The sequence below is a fragment of the Homo sapiens genome, chromosome 6, assembly GCF_000001405.40.
Source record: "Homo sapiens chromosome 6, GRCh38.p14 Primary Assembly".
NCBI lineage: Eukaryota > Metazoa > Chordata > Mammalia > Primates > Hominidae > Homo > Homo sapiens.
In genome coordinates this window covers 106,294,432-106,312,220 of record NC_000006.12, presented here as the reverse complement: position 1 = coordinate 106,312,220, position 17,789 = coordinate 106,294,432, and the positions used below count along the sequence as shown (strand labels likewise).

The 17,789-nt window shown below is 34.8% G+C and overlaps 1 protein-coding gene and 1 pseudogene across 9 annotated transcripts in view; one reads left to right on the top strand and one right to left on the bottom strand.

The window, feature by feature from the left end:
• ATG5 (autophagy related 5) overlaps positions 1-17,789 on the top strand; it is a 141,285-nt gene that overhangs the window by 13,540 nt on the left and 109,956 nt on the right. For 5 of the 9 annotated variants that reach the window (NR_104402.1, NM_001286108.2, NM_004849.4 and 2 more), the window contains one exon: positions 3,730-3,857. The exons of the other annotated variants lie outside the window; for them this stretch is intronic. Coding sequence is in view for 4 of the 5 variants with exons in the window: in NM_001286108.2 (NP_001273037.1) it covers positions 3,730-3,857 (128 nt within the window). In the remaining variant the exon portion in view is untranslated. The remainder of the gene's footprint in view (positions 1-3,729; positions 3,858-17,789) is intronic. 9 annotated transcript variants of the gene reach the window in all.
• RNU6-344P (RNA, U6 small nuclear 344, pseudogene) lies at positions 7,935-8,045 on the bottom strand (annotated as a pseudogene).

Genomic DNA, 17,789 nt, shown 5'->3' with positions numbered 1-17,789 from the left:
CCAGAGACCTCAGTGTCTCTCAGACTTATCTGATCCCTTTCATCCCCCACTGCTACAGCCTAGACCAGACTACTGCTTAAAAACTGATCAGGCCAGGCACAGTGGCTCACGCCTGTAATCCCAGCACTTTGGGAGGCCAAGGTGGGTGGATCACCTGAGGTCAGGAGTTTGAGACCAGCCTGGCCAACATGGTGAAACCCATCTCTACTAAAAATACAAAAAATTAGCCCGGTGTGGTGGTGGACACCTGTAATCCCAGCTACCTGGGAGACTGAGGCAGGAGAATCACTTGAACCTGGGAGGTAGACGTTGCAGTGAGCCGAGATCTTGCCTTTGTACTCCAGCCTGGGTGAGAAGAGTGAAACTCCATCTCAAAAAAAAAAAAAAAGAAGGAGATCAAATTGCACAGTAGTAACCAGTTTCCTGCTTTTAGTTTTCCCTTCTTTCCATTTTCTAGTCTGCAGTTGGAGTGATCTTTTCAAATCACATGTCTGATCTTGTCACTTGCTTGCTTAAAACCTTTGTGGCTTTTCATCATTTTTAGGATCTTTCATTTAGTTTACAAGGTTCTCGATAATCTGGCTCCTGGCTTCCTCAGCACTATTCTGTCTTAACTCTGTACCTTCCTATCATATTCAGCATCTTAGACTTCACTCAAATGTGCCCATCTTTGTTTCTTTGTATTCATTCCATGCCTTTTGTCTTGCAGTGTCCCCTGTTTGGAAAAGGCAGAGGTATCTCCCATACCTACACACACCCAGACTTCCACACTCACCCATGTTCATTTCACTCCTATTTGTCTTTTGACTCTTTGCCTTAAGATACACTTCGTGTCAAGGCCTCCCGTGAAACTCAAGATCAGGTTAAATTCCTTTGCTACTTGCTCTTATAACATTCTTTACTTCCTCCCTGCATTAATCACATTTGTAATTTTGTTTTTTTGTATCTTTTTTGCTGTCTAACCTGTATGCTGTATAAGGGGAAGGACTCTTCTGTCTCTTTCAATGTTGTATCCTCATTGCCTAGTATGATGCTTTACACATTGGAGTGGAACAGAATTCTAGTATGTTTTACTTCTATTTTTGTCCTAGAAAGGTCTCTAATTTTAAAATTGAAAATTGTTGGACAGAATTGGACTTGGCATAAAGAATTAAAATTATGGGCAACTTTTTTGGAAACATAAGTATTCCATATAATTGCATAAAATATGTATTCTTTTAAGCTGTATAGATAAAAATGAATCACTTGTATCAGAGTCATGGAATACTTTATACTAGGGCTAAATGAGGAATAAGAGAATGATAGTTTCCATTGTAGCTGACAGTATTTCCAAATGTGGTTAATCTTATTCAAAGTAAAAGAACTAAAAGAACATTGAAGACATATGTTAAGTGAAATAAACCAGGCACTAAAGGACAAATATTATATGGTTCCACTTAAATAAGGTACCTAGAGTAGTCAAATTCATAGAGATAGAAAGTAAAATGGTGGTTACTGGGAGCTGGGGAAGCAGGGAATGGGGAGCTACTGTTTAATACGTACAGTTTCCATTTAGCATGATGAAAAAGTTCTGGAGATGGATAGTGAATGTATTTAGTATTACTAAACTGTACACTTAAAAATGGTTTAAATGGTAAATTTTATACTAGGTATATTTTACCACATTGAAAAAAAAAGAACTTAAACCAATGAAATACACCTAAGAAAAACAATGAGTAGTATATATAGTCTGCAGGTAAAAGACAAGAAGATGATGTCTTTTCATTGTTGTTTTCATTTTTATTTGTTTAAATATTTCCTAGGTAAATTGTATCTATATGTACTATAGAATAGTCATTCTTAAATCTTAGAGTGATTTCTTAGTGTTTCTATGGATATATTAGTTAAAGATTACTCCCACAGGCCAAACGGAACAGAAAATTGCAGCTACATTTCAGTGTGGATTCTGCCTTAAAAATGAGTATTCTTTTAAAATTACAGTTGTTGGCTCTGCCTCACTTAACCATTGGCATCTCTGACTCATTCAGCAAATATTTATTGTGTGCCTCCTTTAAAGCAGGCACTATTTTGGGCAGTGGAAATGTAGCATTGAACAAAACAGACAAAAATTCCTGTCTTAATTGAGGTTATAGTCTAATGTTCTTTTTTCCTTATTGTAAAAAATATTTTATTTCATAAAAATCATTTGTGAGTTCTTTAGCAATTTTGAGTGAAGCCAAGGCATGTAATACAACACTCTCCAAAATCAGGAGCTGATATATCCATACCCATTAGCTGTGGTGTTTCTTCCCTCCTACTGTCTCCATAAGTTAATATTGTTTTCTACAGAATAGATTACTATGTAATGCCCATTAATCATTTTTAAATTAAAGTTCAAGGTTTGCTAAAAGAGACCTTATTAGACTAATAGATTATACTTACATATTTTTGAAAACAGCTAGTTTGCGACGCTGTTTTGCTTTTTTAAAGAGACTTTAATGTCACATCTGTATTTGTCATTTCTGAAAGACTACACTGAATCTTTTCTCTGCCATTTATTTAAGAATAGCATGATATTGGCAAGTTATTTAAAACAGGGGCGATAATACTTCCTGTGGGGGAAAAACTGCTTTTTCTTATATTAAATAGTAAGAATTCCTTTTTCTTTCTTCACTAATCACAGTTATTTCTTTATAAAAGAATAACTTATATTCTGTTGAATGCATAATACTATTCAGCAGCTTGTTCATAGTATTTAGTTCCTTGTATTCCATACTGGAGCATGCCAACTATCTCCCTCCCATACCCCTGTATTCTGTAGCCCCTAGGATCAATGTCACGTTCTCCTACCTAGTTGGTTGGTACCTATTATCTTGGACTCCCATGATTAAATATAAATTCCTTCAACCAGAATATCTCTTTCTGTATATATTTGTCAGCTTAGTAGTTCTACTTGATTTATTAGTCAAAAGATATCACCTTGAATAAAAAGCATGAAAGATGATGCGGTTATAAAAGCAGCCAAAAGAATAACAAAGCAGTTTTATCAGCAAAAGAAATCAGACACTTAGGAAAGCAAGAAATGGCTAGAGTGTCTACTGCAAAGGAGGAAAACCATAAATTTTTGCCAAGCTCCTTCTTTTATCTACTTGTCGGTTCTTTATATAAATCATAATTGATTTTCCAAAACACTCCTGTTTTATTTTTGGGTACCTTTTCTGGGGAAAAAACACTGACCAGGTTCTTCATACTGTTTTTTTTTGAGGCTTTACCTAGCTCAGCATTCTCTCTCAGCCTTCAAAACATGATGGACTGGTTGAGAAGATTTGATTGATAAGTCAAAGTATACTTTAGAACTTGAGTTGATTATCTTCTTAGAACAGTTTAATTGACTCAGATGAATCATTTTAATTTTTAAGTTAAATTTTATAGAACCAATAAGTATCCTAAATAGTATGACATCTAATTACATTTTTATTTAGTGTTATAGGAAGATTGTAGATAGATTTGTGTTGATCATTCTGGGCATTTATGTGGTAAGCTGTGCTTAAAGTAATGGCCCCATAAGAAATATTAAAACATCTTAACCTTTAACCTTTGATCTTCTATAAAAAGCAGTAGACTTTGTGTGGGATATTCAAAATAATGCAAAGAACACGGCTGTTTTTCCTTAAAATTCAAAAACCTACTTAGTATTTTTTAAAAATAATAACTAGTAAATAAATACGGTTTTACAAATTTTCATTTCAGTTGCTTTTGCCAAGAGTAAGTTATTTGACGTTGGTAACTGACAAAGTGAAAAAGCACTTTCAGAAGGTTATGAGACAAGAAGACATTAGTGAGATATGGTTTGAATATGAAGGCACACCACTGAAATGGTGAGTGAATTTTTCTGCATTATTAAGCATTAAGTATATACTAGCTTTAAAAAGGTATAGTGCCCTGAAACAATTGTAAAAAAAGTCCTGCGAGGATAGAAGTCATTAGTCTAGCTCATACAATATGTGAAGTTTAGACTATTACTAGAATACGTTATTGAAAATATTTCTGCCTTCTGTTTGGATGCATGGATGACTGGACAGATTCATATATTTTTAGCAATAGATTTTTATATGGTACAATAAGAATATATTTGGTTATGGGCTATTTTCAGATATATTTAAAACTCCCTTATGAAAAGTCATCTCTTGACATTATTCAATTTTATTTCTGACACCAAAATATTTATAACATCTTTATATACATGATTACCTTAAGTGGCATTGTTCAAACTGATTGCCATATTTAGTTGACCACTGTGCCAGAAACACATCTTAACTAGGCTTGGTTTAGAGTATTTAAAATATATTGATTTCCTTTTTACGTGAAAAATAAATTTGATGTTTTGCATTTTTAAGAAGGGTATTGAACTGATAAGAACAGATACTACACGAATCCCAGCACTTTGGGAGGCCGAGGCTGGCGGATCACCTGGGGCCAGGAGTTCGAGACCAGCCTGACCAACATGGAGAAACCCCATCTCTACTAAAAATACAAAATTAGTTGGGCGTGGTGGCACATGCCTGTAATCCGGGCTATTTGGGAGGCTGAGGCAGGAGAAATGCTTGAACCTGGGAGGTGGAGGTTGCGGTGAGCTATCACAACATTCCACTCCAGCCTGGGCAATAAGAGTGAAACTCTGTCTCAAAAAAAAAAAAAAAAAAAAAGGGTATTGAAATCAAATCCTAAACCTGTGCTTATCCATGTACTAATGATGTTTTTTGGTGCTTCCTCTGTTATTGGGAGTTTTGTTCATTGTGCTTCCAAAAATATTTAATGAAACTGGAAATTACAGAGAGAAGAATGTAAAAAAAAAATAGTTGAAGGTATGCTGGATGTTAATGTTGAAATGCTATCATTTGGATACAGTTGAATGAAAAAAATACAGGCTAAGACAGATTTAAATGAAACATGAAAAATACAAATTGGTTAAAAATGGACTTGCTCTCTGAATCGGGGAATATTAAAATGAAGAGTTTTTGAAAGAGCTTTAGGACAGATGAAAGGAAGCTACTTAGGTGTTTAATAAATGCAGCTGATGTGAATCAAAGGACTATTTATTAGCAAGGAGAGAAATTTTGGAACTCACCTTGTGCTGATGAGATCCCAAGAATGAGTAGATTTTTCATAATGGATTACAAACATAACAAGGTTGTATTTTGGGTCCCGTCTCTAATCCTTTGAGATGGTTCTGGGAATTTATGACACAGTTGTCTTGTTATAGCATTCTTTCTTTAAATCAAAACAATACTGAGCTTCATGATCATGTATCAGACTCCTCTGATTCTTCTTGTGTAGTTCTAGACCTCACGCAGCATAGATAAGGCAATGCTTCCCATTTCTTTTTATTTCTCAGGAGAATTGGAGATTTTGGAATGGGAAGGCGACTTAAAGGAAGTGTAAACAGAGCAACAATTATTAAATAGAAGAGTAGAATGACAGGATGGACGGGGAAACAGTGTGGGAGAGTAGCAATGGGATGTATGTATGCACTTGACATTTCTAGCTATAGTTATTTACATTGTATTGCATTATATGTATTACAGATTATCTCAGAATTTTGTGTGACTAGCGGGGCTTTTCAGTTTTATTGTAAAGCAGGATTTCTCAATAGGGTCACTACTGACATTTTGAATTTGATAATTCTTTGTTGTGGTGGGCTACCCTGTACATTATAGGATGTTTAACAGCAGCTCTGGCCTCTTCCTACAAGTGCCAGTAGCACTTCCTCCAGTCTTGATTATCAAAAATGTTGCCAGATGTCCCTGAATGGAGGCAGAACCGCCCCCAGTTGAGGAACTCTGGAAAATTTGGGAAACCTCAATTTAGCTTGTAAAGTAAGTGATTGCTAAGTCATCATCTTTCAGCTGCTGTTTTATGCTGTCCCTCATGGTGGTTATTCTTGTATTCAATATGGCTTATATTTTATAGGTTTATGGGTAAATAGTGTTTGGACCCATTTCTCCTTGTCACTGCAAAACAATGATTTTGGCTTAAATATTATTATACCATGTTCTTACTTTGTCAGTATTTATCCCTTTGGAAAGTCTTTTATTAAAGAGTGGAGTTCTTTTCCCTTTTAGAGAGCTTATGTGAAAGTAATTATATTCAAGTATCTTTATGGTAGTTTTGGGGGTGTTAACTTTTTATGTGTTATATCACTTCCACAGTTATGTCATGCTGTAAGCTCATTGTAGCTATATGACTTTTGATGCATCTTTTCCTTTAGTGTTTTTAAGTACTCCATATATATGAGGCGTGAATAACTTCCAGAGCCATAAATGTAATCCAGGGCCTCTGGGCTTAGTCTTGATCTTTTCTCTCTTTGCTTCCAGTAATAGCAGTTTTCTCTCATGTTAAAAAATGTATCTTCCTGGAAATAGGCTATCAATATAAGAATATCTGGCATTTAAGTAGTGGGCTTCGCAAAATAGGATAGTTCTGTGAATTTCCATCAGTGGAGGAAAGCAGCTACCACTGAAGTGTTGGAAGACTTGGACTTTTGAGACCATACAAGTGTCTTAAGGATAGAGAAGCATTTATTTGAGTTGAATAATAACGTCCTTCCTATATTTATTCTTCGGAGTTTTAAATAAGTTCAGGTAGGAAAGGAAATTAGTCGCCAGTTGAGACAACTCATAAGTGAGGGAAGAAAGAACAGAAATTGATGTTTCTTCTCTCTTTATAACCTTGTCACTGATTCTGTCCCTGAATTCAATTAAGTTTGTCTTTTCATAAGGTGACAGTTCTCAATGACAAGAAAAAAAAACTAAAGTCCTTGACAAATCATGACTTTCATCATACTCAGTTGGGAAAAATATGACTTTATTTTCCTGTTGGTAGGACATAGATGAAGAGTACCGGGGGCTTTGTTTTTTAAACAAATGCTTGGTTTTAAAGATTTTTTAAAGAAATAGTACATATAGTAAAGTTAGTTATAGATAATAGCAGAATGGAGTATTCTTAAAACAAATTATTTTTCCTTTACTGTTAATTCTTTCTTACTATTCTTTGTTCATCTACTTGGCTAGCAGACTCTGTGTGAGAAGGGAAAAATAATCCCAAGCATATAATTAATGTGGAATAAAATTCATCTTTTTTTTTTTTTTTTGAGACGGAGTTTTGCTCTTGTCGCCCAGGCTGGAGTGCAATGGCATGATTTCGGCTCACTGCAACCTCCACCTCCCGGGTTCAAGTGATTCTCCTGCCTCAGCCTCCTGAGTAGCTGGAATTGCAGGCTTCCGCCACCACGCCAGCTAATTTTTGTATTTGTAGTAGAGACAGGGTTTCACCATATTGGCCAGGCTGGTCTTGAACTCCTGAGCTTAGGTGCTCCACCTGCCTGGGCCTCCCAAAGTGCTGGGATTACAGGTGTGAGCCACCGTGCCTGGCCAATTCATCTTTTTTGGAGTATGGTTTGAAGAGTTTTCAAACAATTGTGTACAGTTGTGTAGCTACTTACAAAATCAAGATAATAAGATATTTAATTTCACAAAATTCCCTGGTACTCCTTTACAGTTACCTCTTCCTTCCCCCAACTCACAGTAATTACTGATCTGATTTCCATCTCAGTTGTTTTACCTTTTTCAGAATGCCATATAAATGGGCTCATGTAGTATGTAGCCTTTCGTGTCTGAATTTTACCTCGAGTAATGTTTTTGAGACTCATCCTTTTTGCGTGTATCAGTGGTTTTTTCCTTTTTGTTGCTGAGTTGCTGAGTATCCCACTGTATGGTTATACCACAAATTGTTTATTCATTAACTGATGGACATTGGATTGTTTCCATTCTGGGACTATATTGAGAAAAGCTGCTGAAAACACCTAGAGGTCTTTCTGTGTCAAGCCACATATATTGTAAAAGATAAAAATTAATTTTGTTTTCTGAATGTTCCTTTATTTTTTATTTTTATAATTTAAAAAAATTTTACTGTGGAGCGCTTCACAAATTTGGGTGTCATCGTTGTGCAGGGCCATGCTAATCTCTGTATCGTTCTAATTTTAGTACATGTGCTGCCAAAACGAGCGTGAATGTTCATTTTTAGTATATGGAAAATGTTATTGATTTTTGTGTTCTGCAACCTTGCTGAACTCACACACTAGTTCTAGGTGTTTTTTTGGTAGATCCTTTGGGGTTTTCTATGTAAACAGTCTTGACATCTGCAAATAGAAATTATATAATTTTTCCAATCTGTAGGCCTTTTATTTCTTTTCTTCTTTTTTTTTTTTTCCTTATTGGAGTAGCTAGAACTTCTAGTACTGTGTTGGATAAGAGTGGTGAGAGTGGACATCTTCTGGTGTTCTTAATTTTATGGGGAATGTATTAGTCTTTCACAATTGTCATGAATAGATGTTGGATTTTGTCAGATGCCTTTTCTGTGCTAATTATATGATTGTATCACTTTTCTTCCTTAGCTGGTTGCTATAATAGATGACATTTATGGATTTTTGATGTTGGACCAACCTTGTATACATTTAATAAATCTTATTTGGTCACGGAATGTAATAAGTTTTATACATTGTTGGATTCAGTTTGCCAAATAATATTTCGTTGAGGATTTTTGTGTCTTATGTTCATAAGAGGGATTGTAGTTTTCTGTTTTTTCTATTGTCTGATTTAGCATTAGGGTTATACGGGCTTTATAAACTGAGTTCGAAAGTGTTCTGTTCTGATGTATTTTCTGGAAAAGGTCGTGTAAAAATGCTGTCAATTCTTTAAGTGTTTGATAGATATCTTTAGTGAAACCACTTGGGTCTGGAGATTTCTTTTTGGGGAGCATGTTAATTACCAATTCAATTTCTTTGATATATATAGATCTACTCAGCTTGCCTATTTCCTCTTCATTGAGTGTTGGTAGTTTATGGGTTTTGGGGAGTTGGTTTGTTTTTTCTAAGTTGTTAATTTATGAACATAGAGTTGTTTATAGTATTTCCTTGTCTGTGAATGACTTTAGGATCTGTAGTGTTGTCTTCATTTTTGTCAGCTTTGTTAGAGGTTTACCAATTTTACTTATTTTTTTGAAGAGCCAGTGTTGTGGTTCATGGATTTTTCTCTCCTTTTTAAAATTTCCAATTTTGTTGGTTTCTGTTTTTTGTTTTTAATAATCTTATTCCTTCTGCTCCTTTGGTTTTATTATTTTTTTCTAGTTTCTTGAAAAGGGACTTAGGTTATTTTTTTGAGCTCTTACCTTAATTTCTTTTTTAAATTGTAGTAAAATGCATGTAACAAAATTTACCATCTTAACCATGGTAGTGTTAATTACATTCACAATGTTGTACAAGCATTTAGTGTTACAAATATCTATTTCAGCCAGGCTTTAGTATAGACCATAAATTTTGATATGTTCTGTTTTTGTTTTCATTCGGGTCTGTGTATTTTTAAAATTTTCTTTTGAGGCTTTCTTTTGGAATCTTAGTTTTTTTTAGAAATGTGTTTAATTTCCACATTTAGTGGTTTTTCTGTTATCTTTTCATTATTGATTTCTAGTTTGATTCTATTGTAGTAAAAAAAGAGCTCACTGTAATTTTGGATCTTTTAAATTTGTTGATGTTCGTCTCCACTCTTGATTCCCTCATCATCTAGCCTCTAGATTGTGATTCTGGCTTCTAAGTATGCCTTAAACTCCCTGCTTTGTTTTTCGGGATTCAGGCCCATCTGATTTCTCACATGGATTGTTTTAGTGGCCTCTTAATTTGTCTTCCTGCTTTTAATACTATTACTTTTAGTTTATCTTCCCCAGTGCCATAATTTTTCTTTCTGAAATGCAGATCTAACATTGTTATTGTCCTCAAGAACCCTATTCTGACTTACCATCATCTACAGTATAAAGCCAAACACTAAAGCATGATGTGTGTGTAAAGGTTGTCCATGATCCCACTTCTTTCCAGGTCTTTCCAGGTGTACTAAGCTACTTGTTTTAATGAATGTGGGATAATGTTTTGGGCTTCCGTTTCTTTGCTCATCTAATTTGATAAATCTTTTTTGCTCTTTCCAGCATCCTTTGTTTTGGTTGTAATTAATTATTCATTCATATATTCCCTCCTGTAGCTCATACTTCTAACATCTAGCTTAACTATGACCTTTTTTGTGGTTCTTTTTAGCCCAAAGTGATCATTTCTACGTTTGTGCCATCTCTACACTACGTGTGTACTTCCTATATTCTTGTCATGTTATAACTGTGTATTGTAACATAATGGTTATTAAGGATGCTGACTCTGGAGTCAGAAACCAGATTTCAAATCCCAGCTTCATCACTTACTAGCGGTATAACCTTGGGCAAGTTATTTGACCTTTTTGTATCTCAGTTTTCTTGTCTGTAAAACAGCAATGATAATGGTACCTTGTACTTCGTAACTTTGTTTCAAGAATTAAGTGAGTTAATATGGGTTAAGTATCCTTTATCCAAAATGGTTGGGACCAGAGTCTTTCAGATTTCAGATTTTTTCAGATTTTGGAATGTTTGTATTATATACTTACAGTATTCCAAATCTGAAAATCTGAAATGCGAAATGCTTCAATAAGCAGCAGTTCCTTTGAGCATCATGTCAGTGTTAAAAAAGGTTCAGATTTTGGATCATTTTTCTTTGTACTTAAACCAGCAGCATATAGGAGGGGATAAGTAAATGTTTGTTCAGTGAATGAATGAATGAATGAATCTAAATTTGCCCCTTGCTTTTATTTGGAAAACCGAGACTCAAATAAGTAAGGTAACTTGTTCAAATAAGTTAGGACCCAGATTTTGAGAGTATCAGTTCAGGGCTCTTTTTACCACACCTGCTAACATTTTGTTTAAAAATTTTTCTCCCATCTTATCTGTTCTCTCTAATTGCTTATATCAATTTGTCCAAATTAGAATTAAAAAAATTTAAGAACAGTGGTATACTTATAATGAATACTCAATACATTTGTTGTTGTCGATTTGTAGAGAGCTTACAAGGAGGTTATGTCTGATTAGAGCTTTATCTTTGCATCTTTAGCTTTTAAAAATTACATGGGAAATGGAAAGTGCTGGCCTAACTCAAAATAGAGTCTCTTTCTTCAGACTGAGATGTTAGTCAGCAGAGGGTGCTCTAACATTGTATTTTAAGGGGTGAAGTTTCTTATTACCACAACTGGTGTTCACATTTTATATTTGTTAGTTTTATATTAGAATTATGTTAAGAGACCAGTTCTTGGTCCTTCCGAAGAATACTTTGTAAGTAAACCCTAATTTTGGTTTAGATCTTAGACCTTCAAGCACGAAATTTAGAACAAGCTTCTCATTTTGTCAACTGTAAAATAAATAACTTTAATGGGAAATTTTTCTCTGCAAATTGACTTTCAGGACAGGTGGTAAAAGGAAGAAGTTGAAATTACTTTTTGAATTGTAAAAAAAAATACATACTCTTGGGCTACATGATTTTGGTCAATGATGGACCGCATTTAGGATGGTGGTCCCAGAAGATGATAATCTGTATTTTTATAGTATCCTTTCTGTGTTTAGATGCATACATACTTATCATTGTGTTACAGTTGTCTAGAGTATTCAGTGTAGTAACATGATGTACAGGATTATAGCCTAGGAACATTAGGCTACACCATGTAGCCTAGGTACGTAGTAGGCTATGGCATCTAGGTTTGTGTAAGTACACTGTGATGTTTGAACAGCGAATGAAATTGCTTAACAATGCATTTCTCGGAACATATCCATGTTGTTAAATGTCCCATGGCTGTATTGATGTTGATCTTAAACATAGACATGATAGAATGACTCAGAATTTAATACTCTTTGTGATTTCAAAAGTAGATTTTAGCAAAATGCTTTAGTGAAAACCTGTGTATAATTTTTTAAAAAACATTTAACATTTTAATCATAAATGCTAACAGATTCTTCTGTCTTATTTCCAGTCTTTTTAAGGTTGTGAATTTCTGGAACTTAACCCATTTATGCAGGAGATTAAAATTTTTTGTGTGTGAAAAATCAGACCTTGTCAGTGACCTTGAACAGTTTACATAACTCCCACAAGCTTAGCGTTCCAATAATGGAAAACTAGGCATAAAGGAGTTAACAATGTATTCTGTAAACTAGATTTTTGAAATGTGACTTACATAGATTTTATATATGTGGTATCCCTTCATTATTTTTGAACTTTTTCATATATAAGAATGGGCTTAGAAAGCTGTGAAACACATTGCTACTCTATAGTTGTTTGTGTTTGTCCTACATATAGAGTAAGTCAGTATTCACAGCAATCATCAAATTACTTTGGTTTGCATTTGTAGTTACATGCTTGCAGTTACAATGAAATGTAATCCCGTTTCCAGTGAATCAGAATGCAGCAACTTTCCGAATAGGAGGCATTTATTTTAGTGACATGAACTTGGGCAGTAGTTCTCCAGTATGGGGAAAATTCTTTCAGTGCTGATTTTAGAATACTTGTATTAGTTTGCTATCTGAGTACAGATATTTATACTAGAATCATGTCCCTTCTGAGAATATCCATTATTGCTACACCATGTGCCAATGTGCACACATGCACAAACATACACACACACATAAATGGAGTAATGAATAAAAAACAAAAAGCAAAGAAATATTAAAATATATTCATTTCGAGAATTGAATATGGAAGACTAGAGCAATGTAAAGAAGAAAAAGAACAAAGTGTAAAAATAGACCTAATACTGTTCTTATGCAGTCATTTTCTATAGGGCAATACACTGAGTCTTTAGCTAGTTGGGTCCTCTTATTTACACAGAAAATACAGTTCTGGATAAGAGTTGGTGTTCTGTATCCATGGGTTCTGCATCCATGGATTCAACCAACCATGGATTGAAAATATTTGGGGGAAAAAAGCAATAACTAATAATAATACAACAATAAAAATGAAATCACAAAAAGTCCAATATGGTATAACAACTATTTACGTAGCACTTACATTGTAATAGGTATTATAAGTAATCTAGCAATAATTTAAAGTATACGGGAGAATGTGTGTAGGTTATATGCAAATACTATGCCATTTAATATAAGGGTTTAAGCATCTGCGAATTTTGGTATCCAGCTAGGTCCAGGAACCAATCCCCACACGTACCAAGGGTGGACCGTATTCCAGGTTCAAATCCTTACTACTTGCTTTTCTATTAAATTTAAGTTAGATGGTAGAAGTAGCAACATAATAGCCAATGGTTACGTTATGATTTACTTAGGGTATATGTGGTTTCTGTGTTGTGGGTTAGAAGGCTTCTCACAAAACTGTATATAATATCTGTTTAGAAGACTTGTACAAATTAGTACTTTTGAAATCCTTGATGTAAATCAGATTAAAGTGTAAGAGAAACTCAGTACCTTTAATTTTTGCCAGTTCTGTTTTCTTTTATAGATTGTGTTGAATATCAGTAGATTCATTAGAAATAAGCAATCTGGGAACCAGTGAATTCAGATAGCATATTTGTTTGGAATTAATATCTTTGCATGAAAATAATTCTAACATAAAAATTTGTATTGAACCGCATGTTAATTATGGAATTTGACAATAGAAATAAGTAAATGGTTATCTTACTCCTTCGTTTTTCTGGTTCATTTTTATTTTTAAAAAATCATAACAGGATGATTATTCATTTTTATAATATTTAGAATGTTTTTATGTTAATACTTTATTTATTTTTTTTATGGAGATGGAGTCTCCCTCTGTCGCCCAGGCTGGAGTGCAGTCGCACTATCTTGGCTCACTGCAACCTCCGCCTCCCGGGTTCAAGCAATTCTCCCACTTCAGCCTCCCAAGTAGCTGGGACTACAGGTGCATGCCACCACGCCCAGCTAATTTAAATTTAAATATAATTTTAAGGAAGCATATGTTTAAATTTATCTCCTAATTCTTAATATGCCAAGACAAAGGAGTTGTCGTCATTTACCATCTGGGACCAATGAAATTTAAAAAAAAATTTTAAGATTTTGACAGGCTAGCGCTGGGTGCAGTGGCCCATGACTGTAATCCCAGCACTTTGGGAGGCCGAGGCGGACAGATCATGAGGTCAGAAGTTCAAGACTAGCCTGGCCAACAGAAACCCCATCTCTACTAAAAATACAAACATTAGCCAGGTGTGGTGGTACGCGCCTGTAATCCCAGCTACTCGGGAGGCTGAGGCAGGAGAATCGCTTGAACCTGGGAGGCAGAGGTTGTAGTGAGCCAAGATCGCACAACTGCATTCCATCCTGGGCGACAGAACGAGACTCTGTCTCAAAAAAAAAAAAAAAAATAGATTTTGACAGGGTCTCCCTCTGTTGAGTACAGATCATGCCTGGCTAATTTTTTTTGTAGAGACAGGGTTTTGCCATGTTGCTCAGGCTAGTGTCGAACTCCTGGGCTCAAGCAATCCACCTGCCTCAGCCTTCCATAGTGCTAGGATTACAGGCATAAGCCACCATGCCCAGCCCCAATGAACTTTAAAATATATATGTGTGTGTGTGTGTGTGTGTGTGTGTGTGTGTGTGTGTGTGTGTGTGTTTAAGTCATTTTGCAAATAATTTAGAGAATTTAGAATAAAGGAATAGTGTATAACAACTTTATTAGAAATTTTAATACAGGTTTAAGTACAGCAAATTTACATTTTCATTTCATATTTTTCTAGTTTTAAAGGTATCTAAAATGGTCAACATCCCCTGAATGCAACTAATTGCTCATTAATTTTTATACATTCAAATATACCTCTGAGAGGTTCTAGTTTATTACTTCTGGCCCTTCTTGCATCTAATAGTGTTAATAATACTTGAAGAAATCTATAAACCCTTTGCCAGCTCATGATTTCATTATGAAATATTTTCTTTTTTATGTGAATCAACACCAATTAGACTGAGCAGCCCAGTACTTTTTTTCATTTCTATGTGATCTAATTCCTTCAGTCTTCTTTTTATATAAATAGAACTTTTGCATTTGCCTACTATCAAATAAATTTGTGTAAATAGCATAAAAGATGAAATAATATTGTCACATGTTCTTTTAGTAAAAAGAAATGGTCCAGGTTTTTGTCATAAAATATCATGTAATGAAGTTTTTTCTGTTGATGACTAAGCTGTTAAGATTACCATGTGTTCCTTTTTGTCTTTAGAAATATATTGTTCTTCTATTAGTTCTTGAGCTATGGAAAATTTAAGATATCATCTAAAGACTCAGAGTTTGAGATTTCACTTAAATGATCAATTTCACTATTGTCATTAAAGTCTAGAGTACTGCTGTCTCTCTTTGTATTTTGTCCTGATTTGTCTAATAATTGTGAAACATCTTCCTCTGTCAGTTTTTTTCTCTGCCATTGTTGGTAGAAAATGAGAAACTTGGAATTTTCAACTGTGTTAATGATAGCTAAAAACTGATTCCAGAATGGAGTCTGCTTGCTTTTTTCTTTTTTCTGAGACCAAGTCTCCCTCTGTTGCCTAGGCTGGAGTGCAGTGTTGCAGTCTTGGCTCACTGCAACCTCCACCTCCCAGGTTCAAGTAATTCACCTGTCTCAGCCTCCCGAGTAGCTAGGACTACAGACACATGCGACCACGCCCAGCTAATTTTTGTATTGTTAGTAGAGATGGGGTTTCACCTTATTGGTCAGCCTGGTCTTGAATTCCTAACCTCAGGTGAACCACCCGCCTCAGCCTCCCAAAGTGCTGGGATTACAGGCGTGAGCCACCACGCCCAGCCTGCATGCTTATTTTACACTTTATTGAAAGATGTTTCAATACTTTAGGCAACACATAAGAAAATGAAAGAAGGGTACATTCTTCTATCATCCTTCTAGGCATCATGTTATTTTTTCAAATTCTTACTGTTTTAGTGTCTTATTGGGAATAATTGACAAATAATGATGAAATAAGTTCTAGAGTGATGAAATAGTAAAATGTTTTGATACATAGGAAACAATAAGATCATTAAGACCCTAAAATATATCTTAGATTTATAAAAGTGTCCAGTAGCTCCATGTGGTAATTACTACATGGAGTAAGTTTTATCTTTTTTTTTTTAAAGTGAGTTTTTTCTGTTCTTTGGAATACCTTTAAGAATGAATAAAAGTCATGAAGTGTCAATCATTAAAATAGTTGGAACTGCTCAAAAAAGAAACTCAGAACCTAAAATTGGCTCCATTAGATCTTTATGTTGTACCTAGGGTTAGTCTGTGGACTTCTTCGATTTATGCATTCAGCAGTTGTTTATTATGTACTTTGTTCAAGCTTCTGTGTATTTATAATTTTCTCATTTTTAAAATATTTATAGTTTTCTCGTTTTTTAAATATTGAGGGTTAAAAAAATAATTTATGATTGAGTCTTATGTTTAACTTGTATTCTGATCCAGATATTTCCTTAAAGAGTTATTTGGGCTGGACATAGTGGCTCATGCCTATAATCTCATTACTTTGGGTGGCCAAGGTGGGAGTATTGCTTGAGTCCAGAAGTTTGAGACCAGCCTGGGCAACATAGTTGGACACTATCTCTATAAAAAATAAAATAATTAGCTGGGCATAGTGGCACATGTCTGTAGTCCCAGCCACTCAGGAGGCTGAGGTGGGAGGATCGCTTGAGCCCAGGAGGTCAAGATTGTAGTGAGCTCTGACTGCACCACTGCACTCCAGCCTAGGTTACAGAGTAAGACCCTGTCTCAAAAAAAAAAAAAAAAATTACTTGATTTTATATTATAGATTGCTTTAAGATATATTTGTTTTAGAATTTGCTTACAAATTCACAAAAGTGTTTCACACATTTGTTAATGGCAGGGAATATGTAAAACACTGGATTGCTAGTAATTTTATGTGATCTCGAGTGAATCTTATCTAATAGATTAGACTATTTTGCCTAGCGGAGTTCTTTGTGTTTTCAGTGCTGTTTAGAATTTGGAAAGCAATATGGTGTCACTTTTGAAATGTTAAGTCTTTTTAATGAAATCCAAGTGAATAAAACTTTAATTAAGTGCCTACATTCATCTTTAACCCTGTTGCAGATACCTAAGAGAGATATTCTAAAAAATAAATTGAAGACGTTAAAAGGTCTGTTTTGTAAAAGTATAAGGTATTATTTAGAGCTTGTTCAATTTTAATACTTTAGAGAGAAGGATCAGAATTGGATTAAATCTATAACTTGTCTATAGTACTATATATGTGTGTATATGTGTGTGTGTGTGTATGTATATTTTTTTTTAATTTTAGGTTTTGACTGAGGCGAGAGTTTTTCCTGGTTCCAGAATTTTCTTCAGTATTAGTTTCTGGATATGAAAGGATTGATTAGAGAGAAATTTAAGGGATATTATTAAGAGATATAATGCATATAAGACTAAAAGTACCCCCACTGCTTTATTTTTACCGACCGGGCGTTCATCCTAAATTCTTTTTTTTTTTTTTTTCTTGAGAAAAGGTCTCACTCTGTCGTCCAGGCTGGAGTGCAGTGGCACAGTCTTGGCTCACTGCAGCCTCTGCCTCTCGGGCTCAAGAGAGTCTCCCGCCTCAGCCTCCTGAGTAGCTAGGGCTGCAGGTGTGTGCCATCATGCCCAGCTAATTTTTTTTTTTTTTGTATTTTTGGGTAGAGACAGAGTTTCACCATGTCAGTCTCAGGTACTGGAACTGGTCTCGAACTCCTGACTTCAAGTCAAGTGATCCACCCACCTTGGCCCCCCAAAGTGTTGGGATTACAGGCTTGAGTTACAGTACCCAGCCCATCCTAAATTCCTACCAAATAAATACATGATCTCTAGAAACTGATGACTTTTCCATAATTCTATACAAGTAAGCAAGCATAAATTATATATACAATTATATAT